The sequence below is a fragment of the Homo sapiens genome, chromosome 1 (assembly GCF_000001405.40).
Source record: "Homo sapiens chromosome 1, GRCh38.p14 Primary Assembly".
Lineage (NCBI taxonomy): Eukaryota > Metazoa > Chordata > Mammalia > Primates > Hominidae > Homo > Homo sapiens.
The window spans coordinates 83,923,099-83,943,482 of NC_000001.11; the positions used below are offsets into that span (position 1 = coordinate 83,923,099).

The 20,384-nt window shown below is 35.6% G+C and overlaps 1 protein-coding gene across 8 annotated transcripts in view; it reads right to left on the reverse strand.

The window, feature by feature from the left end:
- Positions 1-20,384, reverse strand: part of TTLL7 (tubulin tyrosine ligase like 7) — a 134,109-nt gene that overhangs the window by 58,075 nt on the left and 55,650 nt on the right. For 7 of the 8 annotated variants that reach the window (XR_007063701.1, NM_001350215.2, NM_024686.6 and 4 more), the window contains 4 exons: positions 19,365-19,581; positions 14,754-14,918; positions 10,510-10,668; positions 6,038-6,132 (listed from right to left, as the gene is read on the reverse strand). Coding sequence is in view for 7 of the 8 variants with exons in the window: in NM_001350215.2 (NP_001337144.1) it covers positions 6,038-6,132; positions 10,510-10,668; positions 14,754-14,918; positions 19,365-19,581 (636 nt within the window). In the remaining variant the exon portion in view is untranslated. The remainder of the gene's footprint in view (positions 1-6,037; positions 6,133-10,509; positions 10,669-14,753; positions 14,919-19,364; positions 19,582-20,384) is intronic. The other variant, XM_047430691.1, reaches the window with a different exon arrangement.

Sequence of the window (20,384 nt, forward strand, 5' to 3'; positions counted from 1 at the left end):
AAGGGTAAAGGAAATGCCATGGTTTAGGTAACTCTTTAACTTTTGAATTTTTTCATTTTATTATATCTAGAGCAATCATTTTATCATTCTATCATATACCAATGAATATATTATCATACATCCATTTAAAATGGATAAAATTTGTCCATTTTATCTAGAATGATCATTTCTATATAGCATTCAGTTTAAAAGAAAAAGAAGACAGGAAAAGAAAATAGAAATGAAAAGAGGAATAGAGAGGAACAAAGACTAAACAATCCACAAGAGAAAAAAAATAGAGGAAGCAAAAAAAGGGAATGAAAAACTAAGAGGAGATGAAAATAAAGAAAGATGAGATGATATGATGAGTATTCTATGAAAAAAATAAACACAGATCTATATGAATATCTACAGCAAACAAAACACTCATAGACAAAGATACTTATACACAAACAGTTTGAACACACACAAAGAAGAATAACAAAAATAAGCACATAGAAGTTCCTTCAGACACATTAAGAAACAAAGAAAATCCAACTACCCTGAGACATTGTTTTGTATAAAGGAACGTTCCCACTTTCTGGCCCTTAGGAATATTGTCATTCTAAAAACTATTTGCATTTCTATGAATATTCACAGGCATAAATCAGCACTAATGACTCTCAGTACTTACACCACAGGCCAGAATAAAAATTTAACCAAAGACCAAAAAGATCACCATTCATTTAGCATTTAATTAGCATTTTCCATTCAACTGTATCCATATACTGACCTAAGCAATTTAGTTTACCACTTTCTTGAGTCTTTTCCACTACTTATTACCTTATAATTCCATCCAAGGGATTTCTCTGATCACTTGCTTCACGTGCTGTATACTCCAGGAATGTGGAACCACTAGAAGTTCTATGAGCTTGTTTTGCTCTGTCTCACTTCCTCATCTTTCTACAAGTAGTTGAATGGAATGCCCTCCCCATACCATTGTCTTCCAACCCAAATTTTATTTAGTACTCTCTATTTGTTAATTCCAGATATGGCCCTGGGGATACAAAAAGAACCAGACAGGGCCATTACCCTCGAGGAGCTGACCAAATAAAGGAAGTGGGAGCAATGGCATATAAACAAAAACACAGGGTATGATGAGTACTATTTGAAATGTGGGGGGAAGTATGATGATAGCACAAAGGAGTTAGTAAACCATTCTGTCTCAGCAAAGGCTTCAAATAGAATGTCAAACTTGAGCTAGGTTTTACGAATGTGCCGACAAAATATGTGGTATTCGTATACATACAACAGAATGTTATTCCGCCTTAAAAAGGAGGAAATTCTGACACATGATGCAACATTGAAGAACTTGAAAACATTATCCCAGTTACTTTAAGCCAGTAACAAAGGGACAAATACATATGATTCCACTCTTATGAGATACTGAGAGTAGGACACTCAAATTCATAGAGACACAAAATATAGTGATGGTTTCCAGGGACTGGGGAGAGGGAGGAATGAGGAATTAGTGTTTAATGGGTACACAGTTTCACTTTTGCAGGATTAGACTTCCAGAGATGGATGGTGGTGATAGTTGCACAACAATGTGAAGTACTTGATGTCACTGAATTATACACTTAAAAATGGTTAAAATGGTAAATATTATGTTAAGGGTATTTTACCACAATTTAAAAAAGTCAGTTGGCATTCACCAAAAAGACAAAGGTGAACAAATATTAAATGAGAACAAGTGCAAAGCTACAGAAATTTGAAACTGTACCACAAAAGAGTTCTTAGAAAAGTCATTTCCAAGGCAAAGGAAAAAGAACAAGAAATGATGAGGTTGGAAAGAGATGTAAGGGCCAGCTCAAAAAGTGCCTTGTATATAATATAAAGATCAAAAAGTGCCTTGTACATAATTCTAAGGAGTTTAAACTTTATCAGACAATGTGGAAACAATCTGATCAGAGTATCAGAGCTTATAAATCTCTTCTGATACTGGCATCCCTCAGGGTTCTGTCGCTGCCCTTCTTCTCAAAACATACAGTCCAACTGTGTGATCTCATCCATTAGATTCAAGGGCAATCTATATATGAATATCAATCAAATAGATACCTCTATCTCCTGGGGCCCTGTATATCAAATTTTCCAGTTAACATTGTCTCAAAGCATCCCAAAATTAGCATGTTTAAAACTGAATCATCTTTCTTTTTCTATCTTCCCCCATTACTTTTCTAAGCCTCTTTCTCACCTATAATCTTCATCCCAATGAATGGCACATCATCAGACAAGTCATCCAACCCAGAAGCCTAGGAATCATAGGAGGCACTGAATTCCCAGTACCTATTGCAGTGGTAGTGGACTCGGAATAAATGGTTGTTGAATGATTTGCAGAATGACAGAATGGAAGATGCAAAATGGGATGGAGGTTAGTGCTGGAAGCAGGAAGGAAACCAATAAAATAGCCCAGGAGAAAGATAAGAAGTTTTCAGCCTTGGAGAGGAGATGGAGAAATAAAGTGATAGTCAGAAATTTGACAGGATTCAGTCGATTCATAATAAAGTCAAGTATAACTCCCAGCTTTCTAGCCTGGACTTTCATGTGAATCGTTTTGCCATTAACTTTGGCAAAGCAAACTGGATAATTACCATTGTATTGTACTTATCTATGAGCATATATATTTCCCTTTTAACAACTGAGCTACTTAAGGTGGGGAAATTTTATTCACTTTTGTATCTCTAGCTTCTAGCAAATCATAGGCTCTTTAAAAATGTCCAGTAGGCTGGGCACAGTGGCTTACACCTGTAATCTCAGCACTTTGGGAGGCCGAGGCGGTGGATCACCTGAGGTCAGGAGTTCAAGACCAGCCTGCTCAACATGGCGAAACCCCGTCTCTACTAAAAATACAAAAATTAGCCGGGAGTGCTGGCAGGTGCCTGTAATCCCAGCTACTCGGGAGGCTGAGACAGGAGAATCGCTTGAACCTGGGAGATGGAGGTTGCAGTGAACCAAGAGCGCGCCACTGCACTCCAGTCTCTTTTGGGACTCTGTCTCAAAAAAAAAAAAAAAATCCAGTAAATACATATGAGTGATTAGGTTTAACCTTTGTGGGTTGGAGGTATTTGATATTGTTAGCAGAGAAAAAAATAATAAACCCAGGAGGAACATGATCGAAGGAGAAAATAATTCAACTTGGGCAATATTGAATTTAAGTGTTAACAGAACACTATCCATCCATTCATTCATTTATTTATTTACTTGCTCACTCACTCACTACATGTTTATTGAGTATCTATCGGACCAGGGCATCCAGGGTACATGGTCAGCAGAGAGCTGCAAATGCTGGACTAGAGCTCCAGAGTGGGTCAAAGCTAGCGAGAGGCACTCCAATCCATATTGCTACATACATGTCAGACTCAAAAATGATGCCACAAAAGGGAGTAAGACTGACACAGAAGAAAAGAGGGCTGAGGCAAGAACACAGTGAGAAAATGATGGGTAGGGAGCAGAGTGTAAGAGAAATCATAAGAGAAGACTAAGGAATGCTCAAAGTTAAGTAAACTCAGAGACTAGTGTCAGAGAAGGCCAGTGAGGCTAAATGTTCAATGGTAGGGTAGCATTAAATGCTCATGCTGCAAGCCTGTAGCCCATGAGTTAGTTGTAAATAAGGGACAGACAGGCAATTTAACTTAATTTAATTTAATCTAATTAACAAGTATTTCAGACCCAAGGATTCATGGGATTGTGAATGTCTTTTCTAGGTTCTATTTTAATGATTGTAATAGAATACTTATGGAGGAAAAAGATTCTTCTTATTAACCCAGTAAAACCATCACAGAATGATTGGATTTTCCTTTTATTAGAGAAAAAAGAACTTTTACTTGTTCTACATATAACCCTTTTTATATTTTCTTGTCTCTGAGGACCCCAAGCCTAATGTTTTAAAAAATTATTTGAATCTGTACTCAAATTGCATTCTGTCATCCAAGTAAAAAAAAAGGATCAATTCTGATGCCCTCCATGTGAGATTCTGTTTTCACAGCAGTTGTGATGGAATATCCTGAACAATTTATATTCTTCTGAATTTCCTTGAGACTAAAAGCATATGTTTACAAATTGAACCTGAAGGTCATACTGTAAGCAAAGCACTGTACTAAGCACTGTGAAGCATGTAAAAGTATGTACTCTTCAACTTCAAGGAGCTTAAATCTAATTGAAAAGAAAAACCAGCTGTGCCCAGGTAAAACACCACAGAGGATAAGAGAGTAAACAAAGTGATAAGCCATATACTATGCAGACAAAAGTTCCTTCTAGAGCTCCAAGAAAGGAAAGATTCATTTTGGTCAAAAGGAAGACTTCATAATAAAAGATGGGATTTGAGTCACAAGCAATAAGGAAAGGCATTCAGAGTAGAGAACAGAATAAATAATCAGTGAGAATGGGCAAGCTATGTGGGAAAAATAATGAGGCAATCAGCCTAACTAAAACAGTTTGGGTTGGAGAGAAACAGGAAATAAGATAGAACAGCTAAGGTTAAGTTATATTAGAAGCTTAGGCTACATGTTGGTAAACAGAATTCTATTTAGGTTCTTGAGCAGAAAGATAACATAATGAAAGTAAGATCATTCCCAATAGTCTGATTAAAATTAATGTTAAGTAGGGGATTTCTAGATTCACAGAACAATTCGTTCTGTCCAAAATTAAAGCACTCCATAAGAAAATTAATTCTATTTAATAAATAGACAAGAATTTTCCCAGTGTTCTTAGTTCCTGCTTAAGATACTGTGATGTGCCCAGTGAAACTCAAGTCTAACACATGCACCCATGGAGCTCTCCACCCAGCTGGAGGAAGAAGGCACTTCTGAAGCATAAGCCTCATTAGCATATGCTCTAAATGTTAAGAACTGTGCTAAATTCTCTGTGGAACAACACTAAGAAAGATAAAGAAAATGAATTTCTACTTTCCCTTAGTTTTAAGTCTAGAAATTTCTGACTGCTTAAACTATACATACCTCACTTTTAAAAACACCAGAACACCCACAGATAATGTCCTGAATTGATACCATAAATGGCAACGTCAAAAGACATGCACACACAACAAAAAAACTAAACACAAGGCTTATTTAAATAATAATAGTAAACTTTCATGCAAAAAACATGTATAGGCATATTGTTTGGAAACATCTTAAATTTAAAAATTGCTTGGAAGCATACCATAACTCTGCTAGAACTCTTGAATGACAATTAAATAAATTGAAATCATAAAATCACTGAGCTTAAATCACCTCAGAGGCCCTTTAATCCAATACTCTAAGCTCTGTTGGAAAATTTCTAATGACAGGTAACTCACTATTTCAGGAAGTGTTTCAGTCAAACATCTAAAAAATTCATTTTGTAATGAGCCAAAAGCTTTTCCCACATAACAGCATTTCAAATATTTGAATCCCATGATCATGTACACTGCAACCAGCCCTACATCCCTACCAGCCAAGTTTTTTCTCAAATTTTACTTGCCTCTCTAAATGGAAAAGTTAACTCTCACTAAACAACTGCCTCTCTTTTTTATTTACATGGGGAGCATGATGTAATGGGAAGACCTCTGGAGAGAAAGTTAGGAAATCCATGTTTGAGTTTTTTTTTTAATTTCCTGAATGAACTCTTTGTGCTTTAGTTTCTTCTTATAAGATGAGGAAGATAATCTAGAGGGTCTCTTAAAGTATTTACCAATTTAATCTTGTACTCTATATTAAATAATTATACCTACATTGAAATTTAACCTCATTTACTGCAGGTACAGACTGTTGCCTGGGAAGCAGGAAAAGCAGTATACAGGAGTAGGGGGGACAGATTTTTTTTTTTAACTATATGAGTTTAAAGAATAGATGGAATCAAGAAATGAAAAATACAAAATGGATGGAACCAAGAAATGAAAAATACAAAATGGATGGAATCAAGAAATGAAAATTATAAAATATAAAAATAAATATACTATTCTGAAAAGCCAATTTTATGTACAAATGATTAATCTATGTCAAATGTGGAGATAAATGTCCAAAAGATAGAGAGAGTATTTTACCTTATGTTTAGTAGCTTCAACGCATTTAGCAGCACTCCCCTTTTTACATCATAGTCTATTTTCTGATCAGTTCCAAAGCTTGGGGCTCGGTTAATCTGAAATTTACAAAGAAGACAATATTGGAAGGTAAATAAATATTCAATACATATTTGTTAATCCAATGTGGGATCTCTAGCCAGTAGAACAACTCTACATTAAACCTCAAAGCTTTACATGGCAGATGGCCCAGTTGTTATTGCCACATCTCCATTCTGCATCACCCTAGGTCAACAAATTGCAAGGGATTGACTATTAGCACCATCTCCTTCCCAAGGCTGCCTTAGTTTAGGAGCTTTACTGTCAGTATAGGCTGGCCTCTCCCTCCATTCCACTCTCTCCACTACCCCATGCAATTTAGGTTTTTTAAGTTTAGGAAAGTTAAAAGTGATTTAGCCTAACAAAAAGGAAATAGTGATATTCATCATGTTACCAACACAGTAATAATTATATCAACACAATAATAATTATATACATCTATATATTTAAAATATGGAAACTATCAGTGCTCCCTTTTCACTGCCTCAGATCTTCAGGAATTCATTAAGATGAAAAATAAAAGAGCTGGAGTGTTTGTTTTTGTCTTTGTTGAGTCTTGTTACTATTGTCATTGTTATAAAAATATAACTGGAATAGCTGATGTTTAAGAAAATTTCTTAATCAGTTAAATCGGTTGGTTAGAACACTGCTGAGTTCAACACAACAGCTTAGCTTCTTGACCACCAACTAATCCCTTAGGCTATCTCAAACATATGTATATATGCTACTAGTCACAGTTATACACATCTGTCACCACAAGAGACAAAACAATTGAAAGCATTCATTCCACAACTTGCACCTGAAGAAATATCACATTATAATCAAGAAATTACCCAGGAATACAACATCTTTAATTAGAAATGTGTCACAGGTTCACCGCAGAAAAATAAGTAAAACTAAGGAAAACAAATAACAAAAGATACCTGTAATCCCACTACTTAACACTTAGTGTCGTGTTAACCGTTTGGTAGATAGTATTCCAGATATTTTCTATGTATACATATTTAAAATATTCATTTTACCTTCCAAATGCATGTCTATACTAACCATACTTTATTTTACATTCCAAGCTTTTCTCTTAATAATGTATCATGAAAATCTTTCATCATGCCATCATTTTGATGGATGCATGGTACTCCTTTTATAGAGATATGCCATGTTGTATTTTGATTCCTTTGTTGATTTCTGATTTAAAAGGTGGTGGACACATTCCTTTATTTGTGATATAGTCTCAAGGAGAAGGAAATAGCTTGAAAACGGCAATAACATCCATTTATTATAGGTCAATTTGAGAAAGGGAGTTTATTAATCTATTACGAAAGCTCTAAGCATTTCCCTTTGCAAGTGCAAAGAAAGGGTAAAGTAATATATTTTATGGGAGAAAAGTTTCAACCATACTGATTCAAATTTCTGGAGTTTATAATACAACTAATGACAGTGTTGCCACTATATGTGACATGGTTATAAACTAAACCAGACATTAAAGAACTGATGAGTCAGTGGTCCATTGGCATGTTATCTGTCTTTGTAGAATTCCTCAGAGTTTCCATTCCAAATTTCAGTGTGGAATTGTGCCAGGCATATCCCTCCTCCAGGATGGTACTGAGGTCTTGGTATAAAGCCATCTCAGATCTCAATCTCTCTCTCTCTCCTTACCTATTTCAAATTTTTCCCTCTACTATAAGATAAATTGGTCTATGAAGAGGTATACCCACACAAGATAAACTATTAATAATATGTGGAAAGGCAGGAAACCTTTTTCAATTTAGGTTTTCATTCAGGGTTGTTCTTGTTTTTTTTTTTTTAAGTTTTATGAGAAAGGTAAAGAAAAAAAATAAAAGAAAAACCACAAATGGCTGACAGAAGAAACTAAAAATTAGTGTTCCACCCAGCCAAAATTCTCCTCTATAATGAGATGATTTATTTGGTTCTCATTTCCTACCCCAATTCTAAAACAGACAAAACATAGATGTTAAAGTCTCAAAATTCAACAGCTTGTAAATGCATTAAGAAATGAAAATTATTATAAAATATATATTAGTAAACACTATTTTCAACTGTCCTAAAAAGTTTTATCAAAACAATCACTTTTTCCACAAATTAAAGTATCCATAATAGCTTCTGTGCTCCTAAGTTAGTGCTGTTCCCTCTGCACCACAGCCTTTCCCCACCCCTACTTTATCTCTCTCAGCCCCCAGCCCCTACCCCAACCTTCTGTAGCCCTACAATCTTTGCTCAGGTGTTTCTTCTGTAAAGATTCTTTTTAACTCTCCGATACACACAGGTACACAGAGATATTAATCATGCTATTGTTTTTGTCATTTCCCTTTTACCTACTAGTACTTATAACTATTACCATAAAATGCACATCTGAATAATGGCTACACCAGGGCAAGTATTCTGTCTTCTTATATTCCCACCACCTAACACAATGACTATAACTTAGTAGGTTCCTGTTTAATTTAAGAGTACTTAAAACTATTGGTGGTATCTTCATACTCCACCAAAGTTCCATGTTTTTCCTAAAAAAATGTTTTCTACTTATGAAAATTTGTGCAATTCTGCCACTAGCAATCAGTCCCTGAAATTATTCTGGTTAACTAAAAGTTATCACATACCCAGAAGCACCTTCTACCTTATTCCACTTGATGGCGCCAAAAGGTTTTTAACAATGTATATTAGCCCCACCAAAATATCAGCAGGGAGCAAAACACAAGGCAAGATTGAAGATTCTTTTAACTGTTTTAATATAACAAATGTTCATTATTCACAGCTCTTGGTTATTGTGGAGTGTTTTAATGGTTCTGATTGATCTAGAAACAACGAAGGAAAGAGTAAAGAATGAAGAAACATTCATGCAAACAATGGTTATTTTGAATCTTTTAAAATCCAGAATTCAACCATTCAGTCAATTCTGATTTAGCAAGCTAATGGAAAGCTCTAGTGAAGCAAATGTTTCTTCTAAAAAGGTAACTAAGATATCTATAAAGTCATTATTTCCTACTATCCTCCTTATGCATGTGCCTTCACTTTTTCCCCACTCCATCAATGACAAAAGAAAAGTAACAGGGGCAGAAGACAATATAGCTAAGAACAGGAAAGGACTGCTGCAGAAAAAGTAAGAAATCTAAAGAAAACTTCAGGCCTTAGCAAGATGAAGGGTCCATAGTGCATAGTCAAGTGTTTTCATATCCAAGGAACGGAGGAAGCAAAGGATAAGTAAAACTTCCTCACATTTATCTTATCTCTAAGACCCAGGCTGGAGCAAAATATGAACATCCAACAGAGAGAACTGCATTTCCTTGGAGACACAATACATGTTACTGTTTAAAGTAGATGTGACCACACATAGGCGCGCGCACACACACACACACACACAATCTTTGGCCCTCAAATTAGAAAAGTGTCATTTCTTTGAAATGTATTTTTAGTATCATCTCACCTACCACTCATTTAATTTGCTTATGCAAACCTTGATATTACACACACAACTTCTAACTTATAAATCACTAACAAAAAGAGAGATACTTGATTTAAAATGAAAGGTAGTGGTTGACTACATCTTCTACAGCTGTATGTTCCTGATTACGTTTCCAAAACATGATATTTAAGCGGCCACGAGAAGGTGTGTAAACCCAGATCAAGGAGCTTAAAGGGAACTGCTGGATGGGATCTTCTGGACCACGTGACTTCTAAGGTTTCTTCTGGGTAATATAAATATAACTAGCAGGAAAAAATATAAAAATTGTCAACAGAGATAATTTTTACTTTCTCCTTTTTACTATTCTGTATGTGTTACATGACCTTTTATCATCCAAGAAAAATAATGGTAACTCTCACCCTACCAGGGACTGGCAGCAAACCTGAAGGCATACAGTTGACAGTCTCCCTGAGGGAAGCCCCAGGTATATAACATGGCCTTAAAGGAGAAATTTACCACCTGGGGTATCGAATACTGAATACTGATTAATGAACCAATTGGAGCCTCTCGGAGAGTCTGAAGGGGAGACACACTGAAGGCAAGATCCTGAAGCCCAGGCACTCACAGAGAGGAGAGACACTATCCAGAACTCATGATGTGGTAGAAGCCAGGAGGCTGAGAAAATAGTAGAGCAAGTAAGCAACAAAACAGTAAAAGCACCTCCACACTTCAATCCCAAATACCTGGCCTAGAAACTCAGCTGATGCTAATTTGGGAAAAGTAATATCAAACACTGTGATTCATTCTTAGAACTGTTCTAGTCCCTGAATTTTTATCCTCTTCTTCCCACTTATTCCATTCAGCCTTCATTCTGGACAGTTAATGGGACAACTGTGTTAAGTACACATTTTTAAAGCATTTATTTTAATACGTAAGGACAGTGATAACTCTTCTTTTTTCTTAAAGAATGCCTTACCTCCAGAAGCCATGGCTTTAGTTTTCTATCCAACAAAATATCAAATCCCAGGACTTCAAAGCAGACACTTTCGCTTCCTGGAGGTTGACCAGGTCTACACATTCGATAGGCATGCAGGACATGAGGTTCTGCTACAATCAGGGTCTTTACCACCAATTCCTATAAGATTGTGATAAAAGAAGTGAAAATGCCTTTGTATCTCATTTCATATGTGCAAATATAACCGGGGCCCACAAACTGGCAGCCTGGCCAAGTTTACAAAGCTCTGTGGCATCTAGCCCCTGCCACTGCTCTGACTTCATTCTTCACTCTTACCCCTGCCCACTGCACTCCTCACACTTGCTTTGGGTTCCTCAAGTAAGTGACACTTCTTCCTATCTTAAGTCCTTTGAGTTAGCTGTTCCCTCTTGTGGAATAATCTTTCCCCTATATTCCCAAGTCTGGCTCTTAGACATTCAGAGAGGCCTTCCTAACCCTCAAGTTAAAAGCAGCCACCCTTCATTTCTTACTGCACCACTACACACAGCATATAACAAGCTGATATTTTTCTTTTTACATTAGAGAAGGGTCCTTGTCTGACTTATTTATAACACCATTCCCAGTGCCTACAATAGTAGCTGGCATTTAGTAGATATTCAAGTAAATCTACTACTTTGTAAACAAGTAAAACAAAGCTGATAAATGTGGTTTCTATATGTTAAAAACAAGTAAGGTAGGAGCATACGCTAGCCCCATCCAGAAGAGATGAGGGTGACAGGAAGGAAAAATTCCAAGGAGAGTAAATTATTTCACAAACACCAGTAGAGAAACTCCACTTAGATAAAGGCTGAAAGGGCTGGAAGACAAAATCTTGAGAGTTGAGTTTCTTTATTCAGTGATGATTTTGTAGTGTATAAGTTTTATCTGAGAAGACTGTTACCAATTAAAAGACTGGCTCTCAATATTTTCTGAGAGAAAACACATAATACTACTAGGGTGAGTTATTAACCCTAATTTTTAAAAAGTTGTTTTACTGAAGTTTCAGAATAAGCTGTAGGAGAAAAGCTGTCTCATTTATTTTTGCTCAGAAGACACTGTCATTTTAACTCCCTCTCTACAGGTATAGGCAATAGAAAAAGACAGTTAAGAACCTGGCTCTAAAATAGGCTTCTTATGTTTCTTCCTGGCTTTGTAACTTGTTAGCTGTGCAACCTCAGTCATGTTGCTTAAACTTTGTGTGTCTCATTTTTCCTAAATATAATCTGCAAAAGGTTAATGTAAGAAAAAAATGAGATTCCATGTAAGACTCTTAGCATAGAGCCCAGAGTACTATTATTGTTACTGTTACTCTATCATTCCTCTAGAATTCCACCTTATATATCAGGTTAGACTCAAATATTCCACTACCTGGTGGAACAATATTTATTCTATGGGTGATAAAAGGGAAGACAGAAGTTAACCTCACTGTTACCCAGAACCACAATCCAGTTTATATTTGGGAATAAGTATCAGATGTCCCATGAGAGGCTGTTTTCAAAAAATTTTGTTCAAGGTTAACAAATTCATGACAGCACCATAGCATATAAAATAAAAGACAAAAAGCCACTTTATATAAATCTTCACCAATATTACTGAAACCACTTGAGAGCAGAAAAAGTTAAAACTTTGACTGATAAGTATCTGTATGGAACAGTACGGGCTGAGAGAGGGGGTGGGGACTGATTATTAATCAACAGACCCTGAATTACAAATCTGTGTTTTTGCTACGTAGAAAATAACCTGCTTTTAGATTGTAAAGGCAAGTTTTCAGTAGATGTGAAAATGAGGAGTCATATAAACAAACACAAATGAAATTCCACTACTGTTTTTGAGAATTTACAACATAATATCACTGCTTTAAAACGTGATTTGTAGATTTATACCTTAGGTATACAAAAAGCAGTAAGGATAGTTTTTTTTTTAATGATTATACTCATTTTTAATCTCCATGGCTTGATTTTCTACTGATTTTTATTATTGACCAGAACAAAAGTACAGAGCTCTGTTCTTCACGGAAGGTATTGATGAATGCTGCTTTTCATATATTGATAGTTACCTTTTAGAGAAATTGCCCGGGTTATTAAAAATAAGTTATAAATTAAATTCAGGGAATTTGTAAACTAAGACATCAAGATAAAAATTTACTGCATAATTGCTTTCTCCACCTCGTCCTGTCATTCTCTTTTTATATTATCCCATTGATTCACCTTAAACAGTTATCTATATAAAGTATACCAATTCTTAATAAAGACAGCCAATTTTCAAATAATTACATAAATGCAGACAGGTGTTTGACAAGATAATTAAAATAAAAGTACTTGAAAAGCTAGATTTATTAACTGATTGTTTATAGATGATTAATATGCATTCTAACTAACATAGCCAAGAATGATGCAAAATTTACCCACCTATAGACAAGACCATGAAATGTGTCAGAGATTAATAGGCCCACATTGGCTATGTTTGGGTCATATCTAAAAATTATACTTAACGTTCTAACAGAAAGTTAATTTCCATATCCTCTCATTAGTATTAGTCTTGCTCGTTTACCTTCTCTTAATTCAATTGTGTAGGAAAAAACACCACTTAAAACCAATACACGTAAAGCTAATGACCCTCATTATTCTCCCTGATTCTCTCTATACATGCCTCACCAAAGCAGCCCAACAGGTTTTCACAGACATGTCCCCAAAGAGCCAAATCCAAATGAGGGTTACAAATGTGTACAGAAAAAAAAGAATGCCAGAGGGTATATAAAACTTTCTTGGTCCCACTGAGCAATAGACCAATGCATTGGAATTATCATCAGATGGAAGATAGTATGATCTTCCATCAATGAACTATGGTCCAAAATTAATGAATTTTACCATTTTGATGCTTCTGACTCACTATGATAGTAAACTGTCATTAGAATGGTTTTTGGAATGTCCACAAAATTAGCCTTGAGAAAATAATTGCATAAACAAATAAATGCAGCATTGTTATGATCCAATTTCTCATTTACATGCATTCCATCTCTCAGGAAGCTCTAACTGAAAGTTAACAAATTGGTGGATATCTGACCAAATCCAGATGACATTTTTGTTAGAGTCCCAACATTTTTAAAATTTTTGAGTCCATTGCCAACATTTAAAATCATTTATGTCATTTACATATAATTTATCAACAAATTAGAAGAATGAGCCCCACTGGGCCTAAAATATCACTGGCACCAATAAGCTGCTGCTGAGTGGTGGCTACCTCCTTCAGACCTCTCCTGACTTTCAAATTATCACAGTTCCCAGAACATCCTAGTTTCTTCTATCCAGAGACCACTTCACTCCTTCTTACTTGTCTGACACCTAAGGACCTTTGGATTTATGGCCTGTGATATATAGAAAGTAAGATAAAAATGTCAACAAACAGAATAAACAAAGGATAGAGTCATGTGCCACATAACAGCATTTTGGTGTACAATGCATAGCATATTCAACAGAGGTCACATAAGATTATAATACTGTATTTTAGTGTACCTTTTCTATGTTTAGATATACAATCTTTACCATTGTATTACAATCGCCTACACTATTCAGTACGGTAATTTTTTTTTTTTTTTGAGACCAAAATCTTGCTCTGTTGCCCAGGCTGGAGTGTAGTGGCACAATCTTGGCTCACTGCAACCTACACCTCCTGGGTTCAAGCAATTCTTCTGCCTCAGCCCCGAGTAGCTGGGATTACAGGAGCGCGCCACCACATCCGGCTAATTTTTTATATTTTTGGTAAAGACAGGGTTTCACCATGTTGGCCAGGCTGGTCTCGAACTCCTGACCTCAAGTGATCCACCTGCCTCAGCCTCCCAAAGTGGTGGAATTACAGGCGTGAGCCACTGTGCCCGGCCTAGTACAGTAATGTTTTGTACAGGTTTGTAGACTAGGAGCCACAGGCTATACCATATACAGGCTATATGATAGCCTAGGTGTGTAGTGGGCTATTCCTGTTCTAGGCTTGTGTAAGTACAATCTGTGATGTCTGCACAATGACAAAATCACCCAAGGATGCATTTCTCAGAATGCATCGCTGTTGTTAGGCAGCGTGTGGCTGTGTAATGATCTGATTTTTTTCTCTCTGGTCCTCTCAATTATAGGGAACCAAGTTCAATCAACTCTTAATGAACTTTCATGGCCTGACAATGCTTCAAATTATTGCTGAGGAAAGACTGTTATAATTGTGGAATGGCATAATCTTACTGAAATATCACTCCAAAACTTAGCAACATCATGTTGATTTGCTTGAAGGAATTCTGTAAACCATTTGATGGAACGTTTGCTGCCTTTGTTCTCAGTTTCATCCCGTTCAAAATGCTCATTATGCTTGTTCACGGAGTAGTTTGTCAGATGCATGTATAACTGGGTCTGTAACAAGTAAGAACCAAAGTTGTTACCACCTATGACATCCTAGAACTGCGAAGTTTCAGAGGAAAAAAAGACACTCAAAGACTAAAGAAAGTTTTAAAGTTTAAACTACATAGATGAACAATCTCATGATTATTTAGATAATATCCCAATTAAATGGAATGGCACACTTCCCTTAAAAGGGTTGAGAATGTAGTCATCTACAGAGTTACTTTACATATTATTCGAAATATATCTACCATTAAAAAGTATCAAATTAATAAGAATATAGAGTAATTAAAATGTGAAACTACATATTGCTAAGCAAGAAAAATGATCTGAGTTTGTTCTTGTTAATTTGTTTGTTTTCAATGTTTTTGGCTCTGAGAGTTTTCACTCAAATCTGTTTTGGGAAAGGAATTTTCTGAGAGAGCATTCTATGGCTTTTCAAAGAAAAATAAAAAATGAAAACTCACGTAAGTAACATAAGCCGAGAGGCAGGACTACCAAACACAACCTCTGCACACCCATACTGACTGAGAGGCCCCTTTAGCTCGGTACCACAGTGCACTTAGAGTCAGCAGACAGAATGCACCACATAATACTGTGCAGGTGTACAGTACCGTATCGTCCTCCATACTGGAGTTCTATGTTTTTGTCTCTTTATGATCTTACATTTGTTGATACTATTTTCCTTAAATAAACTTGAAAAAGAATCCAAAATTTAAAACTCCTCATAATTGTCAATTAATATATATCTAATGGCTTTTTATCAAGCTAGCACAAGCATTCATAAAAATCTATCTTTAATTCCTACCCTCCTCATGATCCTAAAGATTACTTGAGAGAGCAATGTTACATCACAATTAAAATATACTTCATTCACATTATTATTATTTTGATTTGTTAATAGCCAACTATATTCATGTCATATTTTATTTTTGCTGCAGTTCCTTAGGCCTATGGTATTGAAATTTTTGAAGCAAGAAGGCAGAAATGATAATTTGAGGTACATGTTGTTTATTAATCCATGTGCCTACCACTGATTAAGAATTTATTTTTTTCATTCATTAAACAATATTTAAGGAACACCTATCTGCAGCAATCTCCGCTGGGCACTGCGGATACAAAGTCAACAAAATAAACAACAGTCTCTATCCTTATGAAACAGGAAAAGTTTTAAATTAAATGATACTTAAAAGAAAAAGCATAAATCTTATGCTTACCTAATTTTAAGTGCTTAATTTAAAGAAAAAGGAAATTAATCAAGCTGAAGCATTTCCTGGTTTCCAAAATACAAATTTTCTTTAACTTTTAAAAAAGAGGTTTGGAAAATAATTTTGTAAGGAAGTCTTTACTTGGCATGACTTTCTTAAAATTAATAACACTAATAAAAACACTAGTATTCTAGTGAAAAATTAAGTAAGGGAACTTTGCATTTTTCTTAAACAGTATCTTTGTAAATGGATTGGAAATTCCACAACTTCACATTTACCTTGACAAAAATAGACATCTAAGCAGTTCACTGCCAGTTAGTCATTTGCAAGAAATAGAAGCGAAAGCAGCTATGAACCATATAGCAATCTGCAAGGAGTGAAAATAATATAACCATAGCCCACCCTGTTTTTCAGCGTGTAGGCTTGATATAATAAATTGGTGTACACAAAATTTTTCAAGGATTGGCCAACCACTACATTGGTAGCAAAAACAAATGTTTATTATATTTCAATGTTTGAAATTCTGTCTTATAATCTCCTTATATGTAGTTTATGAACATTTAATTCTTATAGAAATAATACAGCTCAATATAAAATACATGCTCACTATTTTAAAAATTTGAAATAGGAAGAAGGAAAAAATATGTAGTAAGCTGCCGTCCAGAAACACCCAATGAGAGCACTTTGGTTTAATTCTTCCAGTCTTTTTTCTAAACTTACCTTTTACATAACCGTGGTCTCACTTTACAGACACTTCTGTATTTCACTTTTTAATATTTTCATATCTCAACCTAGAAATTCAATCATGAAATTCTAGAGATATATGAGTGATACTGACACTGCAGTATGAGAACATCCTTTTTCTATATATGTAAAAACCAAAGCCTGGAGCTTACGTGATTGAAGAGCACATAGCAAAATGAGACCTAGAGGCCACATTTCCTTTCTCTCAATCTCTCTTTGAGATTAATCCCACTGGACTTAAGATAATTATATACACATAGGACATTAGAATAAAGCACTTTATCATCCAAAAGAGCTTCCAAGTCTTATTCTTTCCAATACTATAAAAAGATCACTCCCACCTTACATATATATAATCCACTCTTACCCATGCCAATTATTTAAATTATAATCTATGTATTGACAAGTCTCAAATTATGTTTGTAGCTCAGAAATGTCTTCTGAACTTCAAACTTATACTGTACAACCAAATGCCTACAGAACAGATACATTTGGAGGTCACATAGGCCTTTAAACTGAATACATCCGCTTTCCACAAAACCTTTAATAGTTCCTGTATTCCCTTATCACAATGAGTAATACACCATCCATCAGATGTCAGAAACCTGAGTTTTATTCTTGATTTCCCTTTCCCTTGATCTCATTCCACAAATCCAACCTGTGACCATATTATATCAATGTTAACCATGTTATCTTAAATATATCTCAAATCCATGCTCTTATTCTTGGTCCAGACCCACTGCTACTATTTCAATTTAAGTCCTTTTTCCTTCCATATATGGTCAGACTAGAATACAACTTTACATATTATTCAAAATATATGTAACTTCTTGTCTCTCTTACTCTAATCATTCCCATCCATCTCCACCCCCATCTCACATTCCAGACCAGGGGACCATTCCTTCTTTCATTTGTGTAAAACCTTTCAATCCTTCCTTTTATCTTAAGTTAAATTCTAAAATCCTAGACAAGGCCTACAAAGCCTTAAGAGATCTGGTTTCTAGGACTCACCATCCTCATCTGTGAACAGCCACTCCTTCTTATTCTATACTTTAGCCAAACTGACCTTGTCTGCTTTCTCCAGACATGCCATACTCTGTCTTACCTCTGAGCCATTCTTTTGCCTGGAGCTCCATCCAACACTACCCTATGCCTGAACCTGGCTAACTCCTCATTATTCAGATTTCAATTTATACAACACTCCCTCTCTAACCTTTATCTCCAACTGGGCTATGTGCCCCTGCTATGCACTGCCACAGCACCCTCAGTTTCTTAAACCATCACACTTACCATCAGATATTATAATTGCTTATTTTATTTTCTGCCTCCCCACTAGACTGTTGCTTCTGTGAAGTCAAGCACTGTATCTGTCTGGTCATTGTTTTTCCAAAACTAGCACAGTGCCCAGAATGTAGTAGAGTTCAAACATTACTTGGTGATTGGCTTTATCTAGACCATATAACCTTTAATAATGTTTCTTTCTTTTAACTTCTTTTCCTATGAAAAGTTTGACAGTTTCCTTATTCTTCCTTTGCCAGGTTTACAACATTTTTCATTTTATTGAACATAGTACCATTTATGATCAGCCATTATTTAATGTTGAAAAAATGACCGCACTTAATGGAGTTAATTGTGTGCATAATATTAGGGGAAAACAATAACCAGGTATTTGACAAATTGGGAAACAATTAATTGTAATTTTAACTATAGTTAGGTAATTCCAAAAATAGGTTTAGAGGTTAACTAAAGTTTAAGTATGCATAATAAATTATAATTTAACTTTCATAAGCTACAAATTATAGTAATTATTTTCATGATAAATTATAGCTAGAACTTTTATAAATATGTTATGGCTGCACAAAAAAAGTCTTAATGAAAACATATCTACACAAAGCTCCATTTAATAGGCTTTAAAATGCACACTGAAACTGCTCATTTGTCTCAACTTCACATTGGTCAATGTAAGTTGACAGCCTTCCTTCTCTTTTATTGCAACAGAAATTAATAACTACTTTCTGATAACTTTTGCTTTTTCCTTTTCATATACTTTCTCCCACATTCAACATGTTCACACCCTACATGTTATACAAAGCCTGCTCAAATGCCACCTCCTCCATGAGAAGCTGAACACAAACTGTCTCAACACAGCTCCAAAACACTTAATCTGTACTTCTCCATTGCATGTTAGTATTATTTATAATATAGTCATTTCTATACAGGACCACTGCACACAGATGTTTGCTTTGAAATCCAGCCTTGTGCTCACAGCATCCAGAGAGGGTAATTTTTCCCAATTAGCCTTCAATTAGCAGATGCCTTTATTTTCTAATGTCCACAAAGCTGCCTGTAAGTTAAAAGCAATCTTATTTATGTACACAATTCTTCCAGACCACAAAAACCTGAGAGGAGCAACTTTCATTCATACAATCTATATGCCTAATGGATGCTTTAAAAAGTATATGTTGACAAATGAATGAAAAGATAAGCTCTGTCTGGTATCACTTACCAAATTGGACTCATTAGGTGGAATGTACTTCTCTGTACCCATTCGCACAAGCCCATCATGGTAGAGAAATATTTTTAGTGGATCACACGATGTAACCAGAATATAAATTCGTAAGTCAAACTTGTAACCTTCCATTAGGAAAGGCTTTTCAATGTATTCTTGAACAATCAAATGATCCTGAGATGGAAGTTTGTCACCATTTCTTATCAAAGAAATCCTATGTTTAAAGAAAAAAATTAAAAGAATGATTTGACATAGAGCAAGGTGTTTAAAAAGTTATAGATATACTCAAATGGAAAATAGTGGAGTAAGGGACTCCAAAAGTCTGTCCCTCCACAAAAGCAATGAAGAGCAAAAGAAATTATAGGAATCAACTTTTTGTAACCCCAGAAACTAAGCAAAGGCTTGCAGCAAATGGAATACTTAACTAAGAAAAAAACAGCTGGATCTGTGTCAAAGAGCTTTGTAACATTTTAAGTTAATCTAGTCTCGCCATCCACTCCCAGCTCAGCAGCAGCCTTGAAGAGCCTCATTTTCAATACCAGTACGGTCCTGGAGGGGGTAGAATGGGCTATTCTTACGGTTAGTTGTTTTGACCTGTCTGGTGGCTTCCTGGAGGACCTCAAAGGGCTTGCTTTTAGCTTGCCTAACTTGGAACTTTACCAGTGCTGAGGCAACTACTTTCAGAGATAATTGTTGGAAACATTTAAAGGCAAATGTATTAGTCACTACTATCTAGGTTGTCTAGGGCAACAGTTGGGCAGACAATAGACCAATTAAAAAGACTGGGAGGAAGGGCTGAGCAATGAGAATCTTTGAAACTTTGAAAAGCTCTGACATATTCCTGGGAATCTAGACGACCAGTTACATGCCCAAGGTTAGAAGCATGCTCAAGAAAGACCCGAGAAGGCCCTAAGCTGTCCCCTCTGGCTAACCATCAGACTCTGTACAAGCAGGAAGTTAAGGCTAAGGCAGAGTTGTAAATTATTTGTTTGCATGTTAAAGGCATGTCCCAACAAT